Genomic DNA, 22,760 nt, shown 5'->3' on the forward strand with positions numbered 1-22,760 from the left:
CTGCTCTAGCACATAGAACATCACCTGGATCATGGAACATCAAGAGATGTAGAATGAAGAAATAGGTGTATTATATAATCAGAATAAAAGATGTGAGTTTTTTAATGGAGAAGTTTTATTACTTCTTTTATATTAACAACTAGAAATGGAGATGTGAAGAACAGTACATATTGGTGGAGCAATAGAAGTGAGAAGAATGAGTGGGAGATGAGGAAATGGAAACAAAGACTAGATTACTCTTTTTTTTGAGGTTGCACAAGTTTTATTTATTAATTTTTATTATTATTATTATACTTTAAGTTTTAGGGTACATGTGCACAATGTGCAGGTTAGTTACATATGTATACATGTGCCATGCTGGTGTGCTGCTCTTTCAAGAAACATGCAGAGAAGGAAAGTAAAGATGGAGTGGTGGCTAGAGAGATTTAAACAAGTCAACAGAGCCAAAAGAAAGGGAGGAGTTAAAGATACCAAAGTGAGCGTAGATTATGAAAGTTAATTTTCAAATGAGGTCAAAAAATAAGTAACAGTTTTGTAAATGTAAAGCATTCTACAAGTATAAACTATTATTGTTATTATTCCTTTAGTTTCCTTATTTTTATAGAAATTAAATGTATCCTCCAAAACTAAACCATTCTTTGTTCTTACTAATAGATTAATACAAATAACCTACTAAATAGGGCATCGAGAGCTACAAGTTTGACTACACTGTTGCTTTTATCCAAAATCATGTCTAACCTGACTAGAATTTTATGACACTATGCCTGAATATAGAATATCCAAGTTATTACTGAAATAGCAATTGTCTTTGAGGTGGATGGTGCCATCGGTATTCATAGAGATTAAATAGGTATATATGGATATTAAAGCACAAGAGACTCATGTAAGTTGTATATATAAAGGGTATACAGTAACAAATTAGGAGATAATAATGTAACTCATACATATAATCATGTATGTTGTGTGTTATATCATCCAGAAACTGAGGTGGTTGATTTTAATCATTTTAATTACTACAGTTTTTCTTTTCACTTCATATCATATATCAAGTATTATCACATGATGGCATTTTAAGCCACATTCACTAGGCACATTATGTGTGTCAGAACTTTCCTATTGAAGAACTAGTATTTACATTTCCTATATTGTAAGTTATAATCAAAAATTTATAGAGTTGTATTTTTACAAGCTAGTCATATGATTAGCCTAACTAGGTCATATTTTCTTAGACAACTTCAAAACACAGACTTTGAAACTTTAATCGGTTTCTAAACTTTGTCTGAACTGAAACACTTGTTTTAAAATGCTCATTAAGTTTGATGTATCAGTGTTTTGTAATGAATCCAGCTCTTAATTCTGTTCAGTAAAGAAGTCAACCCTGGAGATTTACCCAAGAAAGCTGCATTGGTTTCTAAGGATTTTCTGGCAACAAACACAAGCCTCATTTAAGAACCACAATTATCTGCTTCCTTCACCCAAATTTTATACTTTCATTCATTTCCCCACAATACTGCAATTCTGGTGGGCACAAAAATTCAGGAGCACTATTGCTTTATGCCTAGCCATGTATAGTCAAATTGTTGGATTTGTGCAAATACCTTTACCACCCACAGATTGAAATGATATGGAATAGAAATGTATTATCATTTAAATGATTTCTCCAGAAACACAATATTCCAATGTGCCAAGCTCTAACATCCAAAACAGAAGACAATGCTGTAAGGCAAAAATAAAGCAATCATTTACGATTTTTCAGAGCCCTAGAAAGACACCTGAAATGATCAAGGCTAAGCTACATCACCATGCATCTATTATTACAAGTGAATCACTTGCCCTCCTTTCTGTCTATAAAATGGGAATGTTGTCTATTTTTTTTTTCGAACAGGAATGCCATTAGAGTAAACAAGAAATCACGGGAGAGTTTGAACTTAAAGAAAGATGTGAAAAATCAGAGGTGTTACTGTTTCTTCAAAGGTCCTTCTCTCAGAGCATGGGCTTATAAGTCAGAAAAACCAAATGTGATCCTGGATTCCAACAAATAATAGTTAAATAAATTTGTCAACTTTACTTAACATCGAGTCTCAATGCACACATAAAGAATGTACAAATATTATTACATATAATATTGTAATGTATGTAACGAAAGCTAAAGGTATGTCTTTCATTCTCACGTGCCCTGTTGAGGCATTTTACTCTTTTCTCAGTGACTGTAGATAGTTTGAGGAGGGTGCATCCATAATATTTAAATTTTGTATCTCTTTCCACTTCAGTCTTAACCCTAAACTACTTTCTTTCTCTGCATTTCTGTTTTTTATTCAGTGCTCCTCTCCTTATCAATTGCTTATTGTTTTATAGTATTATCTATCTCCTCCAGGGTCCAAATCTGTTTTTCCCAAAGAAAAAGATTAAGGAAAATAAGGTACGGTTATATAGTATGACCAAAAGTGAGATTTCATACTGAACCACTGTAACAAGATATATATTATATCAAAAAATAAGCCATCAAAAATTTGAGTCTAACAAAGCTAAAATATAAAATATGTTAGAGCTACTAAATTGAAAATAAATCTAATTTTTGCAATTTAATATGAAATGTATGTGTCCACCAAATCATGATGATGTTTGTAAAGGACAGGGCTGGATAATTGAGATCTAGACAACACTAAACCTTGTTTTATATTTGCCCTCTGCTCCTACAAAAACTTCAGACAAAAGTAGTAACAATTAGAAAAAATTGGATTACCTTCTCCTACCGTTTTAACACAATGGCACTATGTCACACTATGAATTGAAACAGGTGGTAGGAGACAAGCAGTTGACTTGTAGATCTGTAAACAATTCACAAAGCTTCCACTCCTGCATGATCTGGAGATGACTACATTTCACAACTGCTAGGTGGAGGACCATTATATAGAATAAGAAAGGAAAATTCCAATTATATGTAGCCTTTTATAGATGGCTAAATCATAAGCCTTATATTTAATTTTGTGATTATATATGGTAAAAAGAGAGATAGCTCTGCACATAATATCTAATTCTGTATATAATATTCATAATAAAACATTTTCTTTCTTTTTTAATAAGACTTTTATAATGCAAATAATAAGGCTTTTATCAATGCAAATAAGCTATGGTAATGGAACCAGTTCTAAATATTTCTTCAGTCTATTATCATTGGGACTAGTTAAGACTTTCATTCCTTTAGTTCTGGTGTACCTGTTCTCTTGGGAAATGAGGCACAGAAGAAATCCACTTCACCTCAGCTCTTTCTCCTGCATGCTGGCAAAGGAGTGAAAAAGTGAGTGAGAACAACGAAAACAATCTTTAAGAGTTCTTTGTTAGGATAAAGTTTGTGGTCCAAGAACATTTATTCTCACCATAGTAACACCTACATATATGAAGGATTCTCCATTTTATGCATTTAACCATCCAGTATGGTCAATATGCCAGCCAGCACTAGCTAGTTAACAGCACGCATTCAAGAGAGCAAAACAGCTTAACCAGCAAACCATTAAAACATGGAACCTCCTCCTCAACACAGATTGTTCTCAAAGGTAGGTGAACTGAAGAGCTAAAGTTGCATATCCGAAGGCCTCTGCTCATATAACCATCCCTTCTAAAGCACCAACATCAACATATTTCAACCATACCATCAAAAATTACAAAAGCAAACAAACCATTAAAAAAAAAAGATAGTAGTTATGTGTCAAAAAGAATGCTATTCTATGTTCTCAAAAGAAGCCAAAAGAAAAGAGTCCAAGAATAGACTGTTTAATCAACTTCACTTGAATTCACACTTCTCTCTGAGAATAATAGTTTAAGCAAAATTTTTGGACAATTATGTGCACTAGCGTTAAATCCCTGAGCACAGCAACGTCACAATGAAAGAGACAGCGATGCTGGGACCCACACACTTTTATAACTACATTCTATTCACACTCCTTATATGTGTTTGATAGTTGTACATTACTTCATATACTTTAACGAGCTGTCTTTGAGGGAAAGGTAGAACATTACCAGATTTTAATATAACAAAGTACCATACTCAGCTTTCAGCTAACAGCTTAAGCAACTGAGAACTCAACTGATTAAGAATCAAAGCAGCAACCACTCTGTGCTACAAACCTCAGTCTACAGTAAGCCTCTATAACATATTGCTTTCTGACTTGCTCTTTTTGCAATAAGATTTCAGTAGCTTTTAGAATCTCACTTTTTTACTCTTTCCCTTTATGAATAAAATTGGTCACATAATACACACTACTCTAACTTCTATTTGCCATCAGCCGCTTTGTTCCACCCCTAACATTTTCCTTATGGATGAATTTGGTTTCCTCAGTCATGATGCAGGTATTTTCCTGCAGTATGCAATCATATGGCAAAGCAGCAGTCAAGTGGTTAAATGTGCAATCGTGAGAAATTTTCCCACTGGTGAGATGTATTCTATTGTGAAATTATGCCCCAAGGTGGTGGTGGAAGCCTATTACCTGGGTCTATTTTCAAAAAATTCTCCAAAGAACACCCTGAGGAAAGCCCTACATTATGGGGATATGAAGAACTAGTCCAAACTACAGCCATCGTCATTTCATATTGGCTTAAAACCTACTGACCTTATTTCTTCTCAATTTGTATCCCATTACTTCAATTGCTAGGAAGAAGGATTCAGGACACATCAGATATAATACTACACAAAACAAGTACCAGATATCACTACAGTTTAGCAAGAATTTAACCAGTAATCCCTGAGTTAACACTCTTCTTGCAATGTACAATGGACATGAGAGTACTCTGTAAACTGTATAGTAGTGTATAAATTAGACTTATTACCAAATCATACTAAATTAGGTAATAGGGTGAATGGATAAACAAATTGTGATTTTTATATATATATATATATATATACACACACACACACACATACATATACATATATATACACACACAGTGGAATATTATTCAGCCTTAAAAAGAAATTACAACATAGATGAATTTGGAAACATGTTAAGTGAAATAAGCCAGACACAAAAGTACAAATACTGTGTGGTCCTACTTACATGAGAGATACCTAGAATAGTCAAATTCGTTGAGACAGAAAGTAGAATAGAGATTACCAGGAGCTGAAGGGAGGGAGAAATAGAGAGTTACTATTTAATGAATATGGAGTTTTTGTACAGGATGACTTTTAAAAGAGTTCTGGAATAGATAAGTGGTAATGTACAACATTGTGAATGTACTTAATGCTGCTGAATTGTACAAAAAATGGCTACAATGGTAAACTTTATGTTATGTCTATTTTACAACAATAAAAATGAAGAAAAACAGATAAAATGGCAAGAGTCGTAATGGGAACAGCTCTGCTCATTGGCTCTACCATATAACCTACATTTATTTTCTTCGTGGCACTGAACAGTATTTGAAATAGTATTAACCTATTTGCTTACTTGTTTATTGTCTCTCTCTTCCCCTACTAGAATACAATCTACTATAAGAGCACAAACCTATGCCTTCTATTTCACTACTTTATTTCCAGCATTTATGTTTCTTATCACAGAGTGTGTGCAGAATAAATATTTGTTGAATAAATAAATAGATGGAAGAAACACTACATATGTCCTTTTAATTTTGAGCTTGGTTGCTCTGCATGATCACACACATTTTCTTATGCCCAATAACATTTAATGTCTCTACCTCTTGTAGGCAGTAGAATACTTTCAATTGTTGTTTATATTATATGTAAGTCTTGTATCTGTAAATAGAAGCTAAGCTCCTTGACAAACCATACAGTATAGTTCTATTTCCCCACAAAGTATCTTACTTTTGCATAGTGCCATATGGTATACTAAGAACTTTTACATCTGTGACCATCCTTGGTTCACATGATCATGAGGCTGGCAGATGGAATCACCCCTCTTGCAGAGATGAGGGAGCAGGCTTAAAGAAGGTAAGTGACTTGTTCAAAGTCAAAGTTAGTAATTAGCACAGCCAGAACTCAAAACCAGTTATCCACCAGGCACAGTGGTTCATGCTGTGGCTCAACGCTTTGGAAGGCTGAAGCATGAGGATCACATAAGGACAGAAGTTGGAGGCTGCAGGGAAACGTGATGGCACCACTACACTCCAGCCTGGGCAACAGAGCCAAGACCCTGTCTCAAAAAAATGTTTAAAACATTCTTCCAGCTTCAGGCCCAAAGTTCTTTCCATTAAAAGTCTGATAATGAAGAAGCAGCAGCTTCTCCACTCCTTCTCGAATCTCCGCCTGGTTGGGGCCCACCTGCTTCCACTCCTGCCTCCACCATGTCCATCAAGGTGATCCAGAAGTCCTACAAGGTATCCACCTCTGGCCCCCGGGCCTTCAGCAGCCGCTTCCTACACGAGTGGTCCCGGTGCCCCCATCAGCTCCTCAAGCTTCTCCCGAGTGGGCAGCAGCAGCTTCCAGGGTGGCCTGGGTGGAGGCTTTGGCGGGGCCAGCGGTATTGGAGGGATCACTGCTGTCATGGTCAACCAGAGCCTGCTGAGGCCCCTTAACCTGGAGGTGGACCCCAACATCCAGGCCAGGTTCTGCACACCCAGGAGAAGGAGCAGATCAAGACATTCAAAACAAGTTTGCCTCCTTCATCGACAAGGTACGGTTCCTGGAGCAGCAGAACAGGATGCTGGAGGCCAAGTGGAGCCTCCTGCAGCAGCAGAAGATGGCTCAGAGCAACATGGACAACATGTTCCAGAGCTACATCAACAACCTTAGGTGGCAGCTGGAGACTCTGGGCCAGGAGAAGCTGAAGCTGGAGGCAGAGCTTGGCAACATGCAGGAGCTGGTGGAGGACTTCAAGAAGAAGTACCATGATGAGATCAATAAGCATACAGAGATGGAGAATGAATTTGTCCTCATCGAGAAGGATGTGGATGAAGCTTACAAGAACAAGGTAGAGCTGGAGTCTCACCTGGAAGGGCTGACTGATGAGATCAACTTCCTCAGGCAGCTGCATGAAGAGGAGATCTGGGAGCTGCAGTCCCTGATCTCGGACACGTCTGTGGTGCTGTCCATAGACAGCAGCCACTCCCTGGACATGGACAACATCATCACTGAGGTCAAGGCCCAGTATAAGGAGATCGCCAACTGCAGCTGGGCTAAGGCTGACAGCATGTACCAGATCAAGTATGAGGACCTGCAGATGCTGGCCAGGAAGCACGGGGATAACCTGAGGTGTACAAAGACTGACATCTCCGAGATGAACCAGAATGTCAGCTGGCTCCAGGCTGAGATCAAGGGCCTCAAAGGCCAGAGGGCTTCCCTGGAGGCCACCATCACAGATGCCGAGAAGCGCAGGGAGCTGGCCATTAAGGATGCCAACACCAAGCTGTTGGAGCTGGAGGCCGCCCTGCAGTGGGCCAAGCAGGACATGGCACAGCAGCTGCGTGTATACCAGGAGCTGATGAATGTCAAGCTGGCCCTGGACATCAAGACTGCCACCTACAAGAAGCTGCTGGAGGGTGAAGAGAGCTGGCAAGAGTCTAGGATGCAGAACATGAGTATCTACTCAAAGACCACCAGTGGCTACGCAGGAGGGCTGAGCTCGGCCTATGGGGGCCTCACAAGCCCCCCTCCTCAGCTATGGCCTGAGCTCTAGCTTTGGCTCTGTTGCAGGCTCCAGCTACTTCAGCCATACCAGCTCCACCAGGGCTATGGTTGTGAAGATCGAGACCCGCGATGGGAAGCTTGTGTCTGAGTCCTCTGACGTCCTGCCTGAGTGAACTGCCATGGCAGCCCCTCCCACCCTACTCCCCCCTGCAGCTGCCCCAGAGCCCATGAGAGAGGCCACTGTGCAGGGGAGCACAGGGAACAGGAGACCCACCTGAGACTCAGCCCTAGCCCTCAGCCCACCCGCGGCGGGAGTTTACTGCCGGGGGACCCCCCTTCCCCATACCTCCAGCTACAAAACAATTCATTTTTTTTTCCAAAATAAACCCTCAGCTAGCTCTGCCAACTATCAAAAAGAAAAAAGAGTTTGATAATGAAAACAATTCTAATGTCATATTTCCATAATATAAAATAGAATATGTTAAAATAATTCCTACTAAATTTTTTTTTCTGGGCCTATGAAAAAAGATGCCTTGGCCATGGGTTTGTTTTAAATGCTAAACAAGAGAGGAATTACACATGGCTAGAAATAAATTTAGCTGATTATTTGCCAATATAATATTATATATACAGTTATGCATTGCTCAGTAATCAGGATACATTCTGAGAAATGCATCATTGGGCAATTTTAATGTGTGAACCTCATAGAGTGTACTGACACAAACCCATATGGTACAGCCTACTACACACCTAGGCTATTTAGGATAATCTATTGCTCCTAGGTCACAAACTTGTAGGCAACTGTAACACAATGGTACTTGTGTGTCTGAGCATATCTAATTACATAGAAAAGGTGCAGTAAAAATAGCATATTAAATCTTATGGGACCACTATTGTACGGACAGTTCATCATTGGCCAAAACATTGTATGCAGCCTATGACTGTACAGAAAAAACTGACTACAAATATATGATGGGGCTGGTAGGAGCCATACAGCCCAGTCAGTGAAGTGAGGGCTCAATCATCTCACTGTCCAATTCACCTCCAGGAAACTTTCTGCTTCAGCCCATTGAGGACACATGGGAAGGAGAGCCTCATACCACCCCCACCCTCCCTTTTCCCTTCAGGAGCCAGAAATCCAGAATCATATCTGAAATTCATCATTTTTAAATGTTATCAATTAATCTCATTTTAAAGAACATTCTGCATGTCAAATACAGCCTGGGGGCCACCAGGGTGTGGCTTCAGTTCGAAGCCATCTTATTTCTGAGTAGGTAGCACTTTCTACTCATGGACTGTGTAAACTCTGACTTGAATCAGAAAAAAAAAAGCAAGAAGGGAACATATGAATACAAAAAAAAAATCTTGGTTATCTTCTCTGTGCTTCTTATTTACCCACATTGAAAATTTTGCCTAGACCTATGGACTTCAAATGAGTGCCATTATATGAAATAACTGTGCTTATAAGAGTGCTTTAAAGTCCTTAGATTTGAAGACGTTTAATGTACTAATCCAACTTAAAAACTGCCTTCCATGGGAGAATCCAGAGGCTAAAACACAGGCTAAAAACAGAGTATTTATTCTTGAAAGGACAGGATCTGATGTTTCTACTCTACACTTTAGCAGTGGCACATAAAGATTATAATTGGGAATGAAAGAAAGAAAAGGACCTACTGAAAAACAGATGTCTTGAGCTAGAAGTAGCAATCACAGCATCTGCACTTTGGCGTCGGGAGAAAAACACTGGAGGAAAACAATAAAGCACAAGGTATAAAAATACCAAAGAAGTCAGCTGGTTTTCTCAGTTGATTGGGGGGAAAATAGAGTACAAAAGGATATTTAGAATACTTTGGTAAAATTCTGAAGACTTAAATAGCTTATGGTTCACATAAGCTGAGAAATGGAGGTAAAAGGAGAATAAAATGGCTGTGCTTAGTTTTTCTGTTACTGTAAGGCTTAAAAGACAATTCAGAACTGGCTCAAATTCAGACTCTTTCACCAAGATCAGTACCATTGCTTCTTTCTTGGTATCGTCTTTCAAATGTCAAATTCACTCCAATTTATTACATATAACTTTCCAGAAAGCACCTTAAAAAACCGCCTCACTTTATTTCCTTGTGAATACTCTATGCTATATTTATATATTCTACCTACTACATAACACAGAAAGAATGCAGGATTTGGAGTAAGAATACTTGGATTCAAGACTTGGTCACCTGTTTAGGTAGATGATTTCTGGAATCCTTTAATTCCTCTGAGCCTCAGTTGATCATTTTGTACAATAAAGGTAATATGACTTGCCTTAACTACCTCACAAGGTTGTTGCAAGGATTAAAAAAGTGTCTCTCAAGTTTTAATCTTAAAAATATATTATCTACAAAGCCAAAGGTTCATCCTCCAAGGAAACTACAACCTAACTGATCATTTAACAAACGTTATTAAACATCTACTGTTACTTTAAACACTGGCAATATAGCTGTGAAAATGACAAGGTCCCTGCCTGCACACATGGAGCCCATAATCTGATTACAGTTGTAAATTTTTAATTTGGGGTTTGATGATAACATAGTAAACAAAAAAAATTCATCTTTCAGCTAGTAAGTAGATTACAAGTTTGTGATAATGTATTGTTTTTCATTAATTTTCATAAAGAAAAGAATATAATGGCATTACCTTAATTAAATTCAAAGAGGCACTTAGCCTGAAACCACAGAGTAAAGGCATTATTTACTACACATGTGTCATTGGAATATAGTAATTATTAGTCACCACAGACACACTTGCAATCATGCAAACATAAGGAAAATGCGGCTGCTTACTCAAAGTTTGATTTGTGGAAACATGGTATATTCATCCAAAACAGCTATTACGAAGTTCTTATTTTATGCAAGGCCCCACAGTGGACACTATAAGGGATAGGTCAGCAAGCCCCAGTTTCTTGCTTCCTTCAAAGGACTTGTAATAAAGGAATAAAAGATTTGTGAGCTCATGCAAGTAAGAGAATGATGTATGAATATTGAAGAAGGGATTATAGTGGCTTAGAAAGAGATACCAAATTTAAGGAGTCAAAAGGTGACTTCATGAAATTTTGACCAATAATGCAAAGCACCAGACCAGTAGTCAAAACTCCAAGTTTGAGTCTAATGATGTATTCACCCAAATCAGGTTCTATGAACTGAAGCAAATTACTTTAACTCAGTTTTTCCATCTATGAAATAAAAAAATAGAAAACTACCAATATTCTGACCTTCTCAAATCCTTGAGTTGGAAAAACTCATGACTGAATGAACAGATTTTTCTGAATACCAGTTACTCCACAGTTTTGATTGTTGCATTAGATAACATATGTGAAGTACTCTATTTCTTACACTAAGTAGGTCCTCAATAAATGTTGAACCCTGATCTGAAGTAGGAAATAGTTGAACTAAACCTTAACATATTGGTAAGATTTTAATATAGAGAGATATGAAGAAAGTAATGTCAAGCCAAAAGAGCAGGCTGGGGAAAGACACAGAATTTAGAACATGCAAAGAGTATGAATGGCAAGTAATCTCATTTGGCTCCACGCTAAAGTGTATTAAGCGGAGGAATAAGAGGTAAGCTTGAAACGATGGCGCTGACCCAGAATATTTAGAATGCTGACGGCGACATGGAAGTGTTTTCCCTTAATGTAGTAGGTACCAGCGAGGCACTGGGGGACTGCAAAGGACATCAGCCTAAACATGTAAAATCTATACAAACCCTTTGCATCATTTGATGATCAAACATCTCCAAAGAAAGCCCATCAACGAGCTCTTTGGGTAATATATTTGACAGTAGCTCATATGACACCACTACCATTTCCAGTTAACATAAATAGAAAGAAACTCTTTGATGATTATTTGTAGTCGCTCTTTTTTAGTAGGACACCGGTGAATGCCTCTCTCAATATTAGGTGCATTGCATTTCTCAGAATTTATCGTTAATCCAGCTATCTTAAAAACTAGAGATGCTAAATGGAAAGATTTGTATCAATAAAGTACAGAGTTTATAATTTGTTTCAGAAAGACCTTCACTATACATTTATGAATCACTATGGTACTCCATATAAATACAAAAGAAAGCATGACAAAAATATGTTCTCTAGGCTACCAATTTGCACTGTGTCTTAAAACTACTATGCAATATGTTTGTACTATGATGAGGGTTACAATAAAATGAAGAATAATTTGAGGGAGAGAAAAAGAAAAAAGAAGCTAAAAGATAATTAATATCTAAGCTAAATAAAATAAGAAAAACAAAAGCATTTCAAATGTGGAAGCCTGCCTTCTTTTATGAGTTTTTCACTCCATTCCATTATTAAAATTCAGCCAAATTTCTTAACTGAAGTAAGACAATACTTGCTAAATAAACTTCTTTGTTTCTACTGTAGGAAGCATCTAAATTTAGAGTTTCTTATTTTTACAAACCTCTTTCAAATGGATGAAATATTTTCACAGTCATAATTCAATACAGTGAGTAAGATGTTTTTCCCTGTATTATAAAAATAAGAAAACTGAGGCTCAGAGGGATGAAGTGACTTGCTCAGTCAGAGCACACCCAAAAGGGACAGCTTTAAGACCCATATCCAGGTCCTCTGATTACAAATCTCTTGTTCCTTCTAGCATATCATCCTACAGCAATACTAGTGGGCATGCTATGCGTCAGATAAAAGAGTAGAGAAGGAGTTCTTGGCATTCACAATAGTTGCTCTTTTGCACAAAGGGAGAAGAATGACATAGTGCCAGGGTGCAGGGCAGCTTCATTCCTTTTTCATTTATCTAACATAGTCCCACACTTTCCATACTGAGAATTGTATAAAAATAATCAAGTTCACAGAACCCTTGACACCATCTGCTGACACCACACTGTACAAACATCAAATGTAGATGATAATACAATTAAGTTTTAATCTACTTTGGGACACTATCCAATTTGTGGACCATCTGGGGAGCATGTGTCCTCCACCTCAGTTCACCTTTGCTGTTTGCCTGATTCTGGACTAACTCTTTCTGTGTGAAGAATGAAAACTGATCACTGCATTAAAATATAATTCAGAAGGCAATGGTATGCTGGAAAACTACATAATTGTCCCCAATGGTAAACAGAAATAATTTGAAGTTCTCTGCTATTAGAACTTATAAGCATTGCTCTTTTCCTCCATTCACGCCAGTGACGTGAGTGTCGGTGTTACATCATGGCTGAACAGGCTTCATTCCACTTTCTGATTAAAGAGAATACTATGACAGATCCTCCAAGAAAGATGGAATAGGAGAAAAAATGATTCTCTTCTCCTTCCAGGTTTTTTATTCCTGTGCACATTAGACAGCATGTCTAAGGGTACTATCTTCACTCCATCACAAGAACCAATCAGAAAGGAAAATAGAGTGTACAATCAATGGCACGCACTCAACTCTGGAAATAATCCCCATAGTTATGTCAAATAATTGGTTAATAGGCTATGCTTTGGGTAAGGCCTCCCTTTGCACAGAAGAAAGCATTTTTACCAAAGCCAGAGCTTTCTTCTCCTCTTTTAGGCTCAGACCTCCCTCTTGTCATTAGGTTCATACCTAAAATTCAGAATAAAAAATTTAAGGAGACCTGACCCATTACCATGGGAGTTACATCACACTGGTCAGTCTGGCTCTAATGTGTTGCCCCAGTTCTGGAAATTGAGCTTCTACCATTTTCCCAGGCCTGACTCCTTTTCTTGGGTACCTGTAAAAGACCTCACTTTGTTCTCGCTACCACCCCCCTGCCCCCACTGCCACTGCCCCATGGAATGCTGCTCCTGAAACTTAGTCCTGCTCTTTGCTACCTCCAGACAACGTTTCTTCACACTGATTTCCCACTTGTATCCCTCCTGCCCTCCATAAGAATACTCTGGGCTGTATTGCTTTTGCCTTATCCCTAAATGTCACGCTTTGCCTACCAGAATGGATCCTGAGAACACAAGTTAGGCCTGATTCCAGCACTGGGTCCGCAGAGTGGCAAGTTCTCGTGTGGGTCCCAGTGGTCCACATCTGTGTCCACTTGCTGGAGTTGATCACTAAGGGCTTACAGTCTAATTGAAAGGATGTACATTAACAAAAGGATTGGTTTTTGACTTTTGTTGTCTTATACTGTTACCTCTTACAGGCACTTAAGGATGAAATAGTATGGTTCATGAATTGGGGGGCTATTGGCATAATTCAGCTATAATTATAACCAACTTATAATTGACGATGTAATGATAGTACTGAATAGTGGGAAACTTGGGAACCAGACTTCCTGGACTCAAACCCCAGCTTTGACATTTACCAACTTTGGGCCATTGGGCAAAATTAACGAGTGCCTCAATTTATTCAACTATGAAATAAGGAAAATCATAATGCTTTCTCAAAAGGCTTTGAGGATGAAATGTGTTAAAATATATAAAGTGCTTAGAGCAGGACCTGCTCATAATAAATGCTCAACTAATAGATGTGGATTAACTAGGCAGGCTGCCATATCTAAAAAATAATAAGAATCACAGAGAAGACCAAGTAGGGAAATCAGTCCCATATTGAAATTCACTGTTAATTCTTTCAAGAAGACTTCTCTGCCCCTCCCCAGGACAAGCTGAATTTGACTCCAATACATCAGTAACTGGCAGGGAAGTCTGGAGTACTATGTCTACCTTGACAGCTTATTACCTACATTGAAGTTTTTTATCTGTTAAATGTAGAAAATATTGCTTCCTACCTAGTAGGGTTAGCCTTATTACAAAATTAGTTAAGACAGATAAAGCCCTTAGAATCATGCCTGACATACAGAAAACACAAGTGTGAGCTAATTGCTTTTTTTTTTTATTATACTTTAAGTTTTAGGGTACATGTGCACATTGTGCAGGTTAGTTACATACGTATACATGTGCCATGCTGGTGTGCTGCACCCACTAACTCGTCATCTAGCATTAGGTATATCTCCCATTGCTATCCCTCCCCCCTCCCCCCACCCCACAACAGTCCCCAGAGTGTGATGTTCCCCTTCCTGTGTCCATGTGATCTCATTGTTCAATTCCCACCTAAGAGTGAGAATATGCAGTGTTTGGTTTTTTGTTCTTGCGATAGTTTACTGAGAATGATGATTTCCAATTTCATCCATGTCCCTACAAAGGACATGAACTCATCATTTTTTATGGCTGCATAGTATTCCATGGTGTATATGTGCCACATTTTCTTAATCCAGTCTATCGTTGTTGGACATTTGGGTTGGTTCCAAGTCTTTGCTATTGTGAATAATACTGCAATAAACATACGTGTGCATGTATCTTTATAGAAGGACATGAACAGACACTTCTCAAAAGAAGACATTTATGCAGCCAAAAAACACATGAAAAAATGCTCACCATCACTGGCCATCAGAGAAATGCAAATCAAAACCACAATGAGATACCATCTCACACCAGTTAGAATGGCAATCATTAAAAAGTCAGGAAACAACAGGTGCTGGAGAGGATGTGGAGAAACAGGAACACTTTTACACTGTTGGTGGGACTGTAAACTAGTTCAACCATTGTGGAAGTCAATGTGGCGATTCCTCAGGGATCTAGAACTAGAAATACCATTTGACCCAGCCATCCCATTACTGGGTATATACCCAAAGGACTATAAATCATGCTGCTAATTGCTTTTATAAGTGTAGCCTACACAATGGTCAGGAAGATGCTATGATGAAACCAGAATGTCCCTAAGTGATTAGAGCCAGGAGGATCCATGTTTCTGGCAAAGGGGGAAACTCATTAGCTCTAGTCATACTCAGGACCCTTCCCACTGAAAGTAAATTCAAATCTTAACTGTACCTTAAAGAAGAGACCACATGGAGAAAAACACAAAACACTGAGACCAGAAGGAAGCAATCACAGCCACATTCTCCTACAAACACAGAAAGTGGGCAAAACAAGGATAACAAGTTTCCAAGGATAACAACTCACATTTTGCAAAGCTTTAAAAGCATGTACTCTTTGAAAAATTCAGTGAGAGGGTGCGTTTAAAAGATCAAGTAGATAAAAATACTTTTTGAATAAAAATTAGGGTCCCCAAGCAAGGATGCAACAATCCAACATGTACAGGTAGGAGGCAAAAAGGTGTGAACACAAAGGAGGATCAAAACAATGTAAAGAAGAGAATTTCAGAGTGGACTGACATGTGGTAATTGCCAGATTCTTAGTGAAAAGGTCCCAGAAATGAATACCTGAGTTCTGCTCTAGTATAAACATATATTAGTTTATTTCATGGTAAATTTCAGAGCCTATTTCTTATTCCAAAAGGTGGACTCAGTTATTTTCAACAAAAGCTTTTTTAATGCTACCCCTCTCCATTGGAGGCTAAACTCCCCTGGAGTGGTTGGAGACTGTGTTTCCAGCAGCAATGGGCTGGCCTTGATTGCTAACTATCTGAGTGAGCTTAGGAAAGTTACCACAACTCCTTCTCCATTCATCTCCCGTCTACAGAGTGGACATAATGCTGGACTCTACCCAATAGAAGTAACATGATTATTGATTTAGCTAACACACATGATGCACTTAGGAAGGTCCATGACACACCGAAAGCATTATGTACTTTCTGTTGTCTCATAAGGAACCAAGTTAAAGAATGTCACCATTATTTTTTATGGATATCTAGACTAAGCTGACCCTATTGAGTATTGCAGTCAAGATTCTAAAGGAAAAGATCAAAAGGGACAAACGTGGGCAAATAACACCTCTCTTAGAATCTGTTCTGCGTTGTTCCCTATGGCTCAGTCTGCACCACTAGATTTAACAGGGTTCATTTTCTCTAGATGTATTTTACCTTACAATCTGGCTTACTAGGAATGAGCTCCCTGAGAAGTTGGCTGGTTTCTTTGTTCTATACCTTGCATTTAATGTAGTTCCAGACACAAACTAGGTTCTCAAAAAATGAGTGATGAATAATCAACAAATGGATATCAAGCAGGAAAGAATTGTTCTAAATCCAAGACTACTTGCCAAAATCAGCAAACTTTTAAATTCATTAATAGAACAAAATTATTATTTTAATATTATTTTAATAGTTTACAGCTAAAAGCATCAGCAGTGCTTTTTAAAGTGAATTGCGCCAACCGCTATGTTGGGAATCTTGAAATGTTTTTGCCGAATACTACTGCCATATCCTTCTGTCATTTAGAGACTTTTTAAATTGTTTTGTCTGCCCCAAATGTTCTGAGACACTTGTGAGTTCTCTATGCATTGGACTGCCTACACATAGAAAAATTATCCACTTCCCCATCAACCACTGACTTTTTCTATTACCAAATGAGAGGTTCTAAAGGCCCACAATGACTAGGATAAATCACTCCATTTCTTTTACTCTATTAAAGTAGATATTTTATGTTCCACTGCCACAAAATCCAAAATGAACACCAAAAATAGCCTGTGAGTTGAAGACTCTCATTTTAAAATGGCACCACAATTTATCCTATTTCTTACTGTACCATGAGCATTACATTATTCATTAGAAGATTTGGTTTTTAGGCAGCCTTTGCTGCCTTTGCTGAGTGTAGGCTTCCCAGTGCAAACTGGTGATTTAAAGAGATATCTTCCAGAGATAAGGTCACTTTGTGGATTCCCACCTGTGTGACCCCACCGTGTTTGCATAAATATAAATTTACTCTATGACATTCCTGTCATGTCTGCTCAGTGAGCAAGTAATTTGCCACTCTCATTACTCCAGGTACAAGATACCTTGTGAAAAATCAATCTTCTTTCTGCTTCATACATCACAGCTTCCCCCAGTCACCCAGTGCATTCTGACTCTGAAATGCAGCTGTGGGATAAAGACACAGGTCTGTTTCAGCAGGCTGCATTGTCCAAAGGGGCTAATGAATGTTACACCTCACTGGGAAACCCCATCTTGGGGCAAGGGAAATGTCTATATAAAAAGCAAATGCGCTGTTTTGTGCAAAGCATTTCCTATACCAGAGGGAGGGAGGTCTTAATAGTAGAACAAATAAGTAGCTACAGGGGGTTTAGCACACAGTTTTTCAGAAATATTAATCTGCCATCTCTTCAGGCTACAAATCATTTTCTCTACCTCTTGACAGGTTAAATTTTGACTTTGAAAGACAATCCATTGCAGGATCCTGACTGGCTATAATATGCCAGACTTCTCCCCGGGGACAGAGTCACCTCCCTCCAGCAGATGAAACCATTTTCAGTGTTTTCCTTGGTGCTGATTGCTGTTTTTCCACCCATGTATCCTCCTCAACATCGTAGCATAAGTGCCAGTGGGAGAAAAAAGGCAGTGGAAATATTTTCATTTTGTATCTATTTTCTGATCCAAAAAGGGGTTATATCCTGGAATTTTCTTGCTATATAGTAGCACAGATCTGTTTTAGAAAATCACCAATTCGAATGTCAGGAAATATGTTTTGAGTACCTACTGTGTTCTATTTCTGGAGCTATAAATAAAGTAATTAACAGAAGTAACATAGTCCTTCCATCATGTAATTTATGTTCCAGAAGGGAGAAAATAAATGAATACCTAAATAAACCAATGTGACAATTTTAAGTATTGATCAGTGTTTGGGGGGCTAAAACATTAGATAGGATGGTGAGAAAGATTCAGCCAAATAAACCAGCTGTGAGGAAGAAGAAAAGCAGCAGCAGAAGCAGAGGCAGCAGAAGCAGGAGAAGCAGAAGCAGTAGAAGCAGCAGCAGCAGAAGCAGCAGAATCAATAGAAGAATCAGAATCAGAAGAAAAAGAAGGGCTGCGCGCAGTGGCTCATGCCTGTAATCCCAACAGTTTGGGAGGCCGAGGTGGGCGGATCCCCTGAAGTCAGGAGTTCAAGACCAGCCTGACCAACATGGAGCAACCTTGCCTCTACTAAAAATACAAAAAATTAGCTGGGTGTGGTGGCGCATGCCTGTAATCCCAGCTACTAGGGAGGCTGAGGCAGGAGAATCGCTTGAACCCGGGAGGCGGAGGTTGCAGTGAGCTGAGATCATGCCATTGCACTCCAGCCTGGGCAACAAGAGCAAAAACTCTGTCAAAAAAAGAAAAGAAAAGAAAAAAGAAGGTAGAGTAGGAGGAGGAGAAGGAGGAGGGAGGTTGGGGAGCATATAAGCATATTCTGGGCAAAATAAAAGGAATAGAAATAGTGAAATAGAGAGAAGGCAGTGTGGGAGGGGCAGTATGTATGAGTCAGCAGAGTGATCCTGGCAGAAGTCAGTCCACAGAAGCCTGATGGCCATGAGAAAGAACTGGGATTTATTCAAAGTGCAGTAGGAAGCCACTGGAAAGTGAAAGTGGAGAGGGCTTTGAAACAACCAGGCAATTGAAATGATCTGATTTACGTTTTTTAAAGATCACATTAAAAAGTGCTGCTGCATAGACTTGTAGGGGGTAAATGTAGCAGAAGTAGGGGGAACATCTAGGATGCTCGGGCCACAGTCCAAGCAAGTTATGATGATGGCCTGACCTACAAAGCTATCAGTAGAGAGGAAGAAAAGTACACATATGTGTGATATACTTTGGATATACAGACCTTAGAACTTGGTCAGAGATTTGATGAGAGGGTAGCAAAGAGGACAGGAATCAAGGACATAGTCAAGATATTTGGTTTAAAAAACTAGATGAATATTGGTGTCATTACTACGATGGAGAGAAAGTGGAAATGAGTTAATTGTCTTTGGAACATATTAAGTTTGAGAAGACAGATGTCCAAGATATTACGTAGGAAGTTGGGAACACAAACCTGAAGCTTAGGGAGAATTAACTTCTAGAGCACATAGACACTATTTAATGCCATGCATGTAAATGAGCTCACTCAGGGCAGGGGTGCCAGCTAAAATATAAGACATCCAGTCAAGTTTGAATTTCCAAAGCAGTGAACAATGATTTAATATAAGTATGTCCAAAACATTGCATAGGACATACCTATACTAAAGTATGTCCTGGCTGGGCATGGTGGCTCATGCCTATAATCTCAGCACTTTGTGAGGCTGAGGCTGGCAGATCACTTGAGGTCAGGAGTTTGAGACCAGCCTGGCCAACATGGAAAAACTCCGTCTCTACTAAAAATACAACAGTATTACCTGGGTATGGTGGCACATGCCTGTAGTCCCAGCTACTTGGGAGGCTGAGGCACGAGAATCACTTGAACCCAGGCAGCAGAGGTTGCAGTGAGAAAAGATCGTTCCACTGCACTCCAGCCTAGGTGACAGAGTGAGACTCCACCTTGTTAAATAATAAAGTATGTCCTAATAGTTTATAGAGTGAATAAGTAAATAAATAAATGTGTATATGTATAAAATATAAATGTTTGCAGTAAAAAAAATCTGAAATTCAAATTTAACTTAAATGCTATATTTTTATCTCCCAACAATCTAGGCAATCGTAACTCTGAGTGAGATTATAAATAGAGAAGACCCAAGATCTAAAACACTCCTAACTTTAAAGGTGGAACAGAGGAAAAAAGAGGTAGCAGAGAAGACTGAGAAGGAGGTGCCAGTCAGAAGAATATGGTTTCACAGAGACTAACAGAAAGAAGGTATCCCAAGAAGGAAATGCTCAACCGAGTCCAAAGTTTTGACTATGGCTTAGGGGTTGAATAGGATGAGCTTAAACAAGTAACCATTACACTTGGCAGCATGCAAGCAAGGCTTGGTGACCTTGAAAACAGCAGCTACAGTGAAGTGGGAGGAAAGTAGGAGGAACAGAAGACCCTCTGGAGTGAGATAAAGAGATAAAGAAGTGAATACAATGAATATAGAAACCTCTTCCAATAAGCTTTGCTATGAAAGGGAGAACAAAAACTGGGTAGCAGCTATGGGAGCACGTAGGGTTGGGGAGATACAGGACGATGTGTGTGTGAAATGGAAATGATCTGGTAGAGAGGGTGAAGTGGAAGATTCAGGAGTGAGAGGGGAGAATGGCAGGACGAAAGCTCATGAGAGGGAATAAGATCCAGACCATGATGGATGGGTTGGCTTTGAATAGCAGTGGAGACAACTCTTCCATTTTAACAGAAAGAACATAGTGAATATGAGTCTGTTGGTTTCAAATTTAATAAACAACTCCAAAGATACACGTACATAAAAATATTCCACTTATAATCAAATATTTTCTATGTTTTAGTTTGTGCAAAATTACCCTGCTATTATATACTCACATAAACAAATATAGACATATTCAAAATTAGTTGTTTCAAGACATTTTGATAGCTAAATGAATGTTAGATAATCACTTAGGAAAAAAATTATTCATGTTCTCTTTTACATTCCTAGTTTACTACCATTTATATTTTCCACCTTCACTGTTTATGAATAGTATTTATCTTAGTTTCCCTATATGAACCCAAGTCAAACTGATACTGCTTTTAGAACTGATAAAATATGGATGCAGAAAAACTCCTGATTATTAAACAAACTATCATGTGGTTATGCATCGATTTACACTGTCCAGGCTAAACAGGCCTCTTTCTCAGCATGTTTACTACCATTTATATTTTCCACCTTCACTGCTTTTGAATAGTATTTATCTTAGTTTCCCTATATGAACCCTTTATTTTTCATGAATATGGGAAGTATAAAATAGTTACAACACCAAAGTTGAGGTTTTTCTAAATACAAATTAGACATTCCTAAATAACATTTCTCTTCACTGTGCCATAACGTACATCATTAAATATAAAAGTTTTGCTAATACAAAGTGAAAGTTAATACTGCCAAACTCCAGAGAAACAAAGGTCAGTTGCTGTGGGAACCAACCTTTGGACCTCTTGACCTTTGCATGTGTTGCATTAATGTGGATATTTGCATTGGATCTACTCCAAAATATAAATCAGGTATTCACTAATACAGTTATAAATGCAGATTAGCAGCAAAGAGACAGTGCTACATTTGGGGAGCACAAAGACAAACAGTAAAGACAATTGTTTAAAAATAGATATAGTATCTTTAAAACATTTCTCTCAGTGTCATGCAGTCATCTGTCACTTAACCTGAAGTCCTGGTGATATTCATACATGAACACAATTATCCCATTATACTTAATGTTCTTGTTAACAAAAGAGTGATAGTGTGGTAAACAGAATTCCCTGGTTTATTAAAGGATAATTATTGCCCACATGGTTCTTGTAATTTTCAACTCAAAGCTCAAAGCTAAAACAATCTTAAATTCTTTTGAATATTTAAAGGAATTTGTCTCTTAGCCATATCCTGCATTTGAAGTCAAACTGATACTGCTTTTAGAACTGATAAAATATGGATGCAGAAAAACTCCTGATTATTAAACAAACTATCATGTGGTTATGTATCGATTTACACTGTCCAGGCTAAACAGGCCTCTTTCTCAGCATGTTTACTACCATTTATATTTTCCACCTTCATTGTTTTTGAATAGTATTTATCTCATTTTCCTATATGAACCCAAAGAACACAGACAGAGCAAAATTGAAGTTCCATTCCATTTTTACATAAGCCAAGGGCGTTATGTACTTTCAGGGTCTGGTACCTAGCAGTGAGCCAATAAACATGCATGGATAGAAGCACGGATGGATGTATGGATGTCCAGAAGGACTATGAGGAGAGTAAGCTATGAAATGTAGTCAGACAATAAAAATAGAATCATAAATATATGTTTTATATCAGTTGAGAAAAATGAGACATAGCCAAGATTTTAAACAATCTGCTACCCTTCCTAAAACTACAAGTAGGTGACAAATGTCTTAATTCCATGGTTTTTCTTAAAGAAAAACCTATTTCTTCTACATCCTTTCACCACCCATAAAGCATACACTACCCCTCCCCTAATCTACCGACTCACACACTAAAAAAGTGAAACAGTTCTCCCAAGTATTAACTCAATGATACTCCAGGCTCTTATGGCTAAGTTTAAAAACTGATACCTGAGATTTACTCAAAGTTTCCAAAGCAAGCACAAATACAGTGTGGTAAAGAGTTGGAGAGAACAGTTCACAAAGACCCATGTTCCCAAGAATAACGTCCATGCTTACTTCAGAAGACCTTAACAGTTCAGATGTTTGGCAATTCACACCTGTAAATCATAAACTGGGGCAATCTCTTCAGAGAGTGAACGTTTTAGAGGCTGGAAATATGTCATTCTCATCTTCGTATCACAGGAGTCCATGCCACACAGCTAAATAGTAGGTACTCAATATATGTGTT

At 38.3% G+C, this 22,760-nt stretch overlaps 1 protein-coding gene and 1 pseudogene across 6 annotated transcripts in view; one reads left to right on the top strand and one right to left on the bottom strand.

The window, feature by feature from the left end:
* The window catches only part of TAFA2 (TAFA chemokine like family member 2), a 551,762-nt gene that overhangs the window by 164,754 nt on the left and 364,248 nt on the right, over positions 1-22,760 (bottom strand). The window contains exon 1 of one of the 6 annotated variants that reach the window (XM_024448966.2): positions 2,744-2,881. The exons of the other annotated variants lie outside the window; for them this stretch is intronic. The gene's annotated coding sequence lies outside the window, so the exon portion shown is untranslated. Of the gene's footprint in view, positions 1-2,743; positions 2,882-22,760 lie in introns of those variants that run through there. 6 annotated transcript variants of the gene reach the window in all.
* On the top strand, positions 6,218-7,946 carry KRT8P19 (keratin 8 pseudogene 19; annotated as a pseudogene).

The sequence above is a fragment of the Homo sapiens genome, chromosome 12 (genome assembly GCF_000001405.40).
Source record: "Homo sapiens chromosome 12, GRCh38.p14 Primary Assembly".
Taxonomy (NCBI): Eukaryota; Metazoa; Chordata; class Mammalia; order Primates; family Hominidae; genus Homo; species Homo sapiens.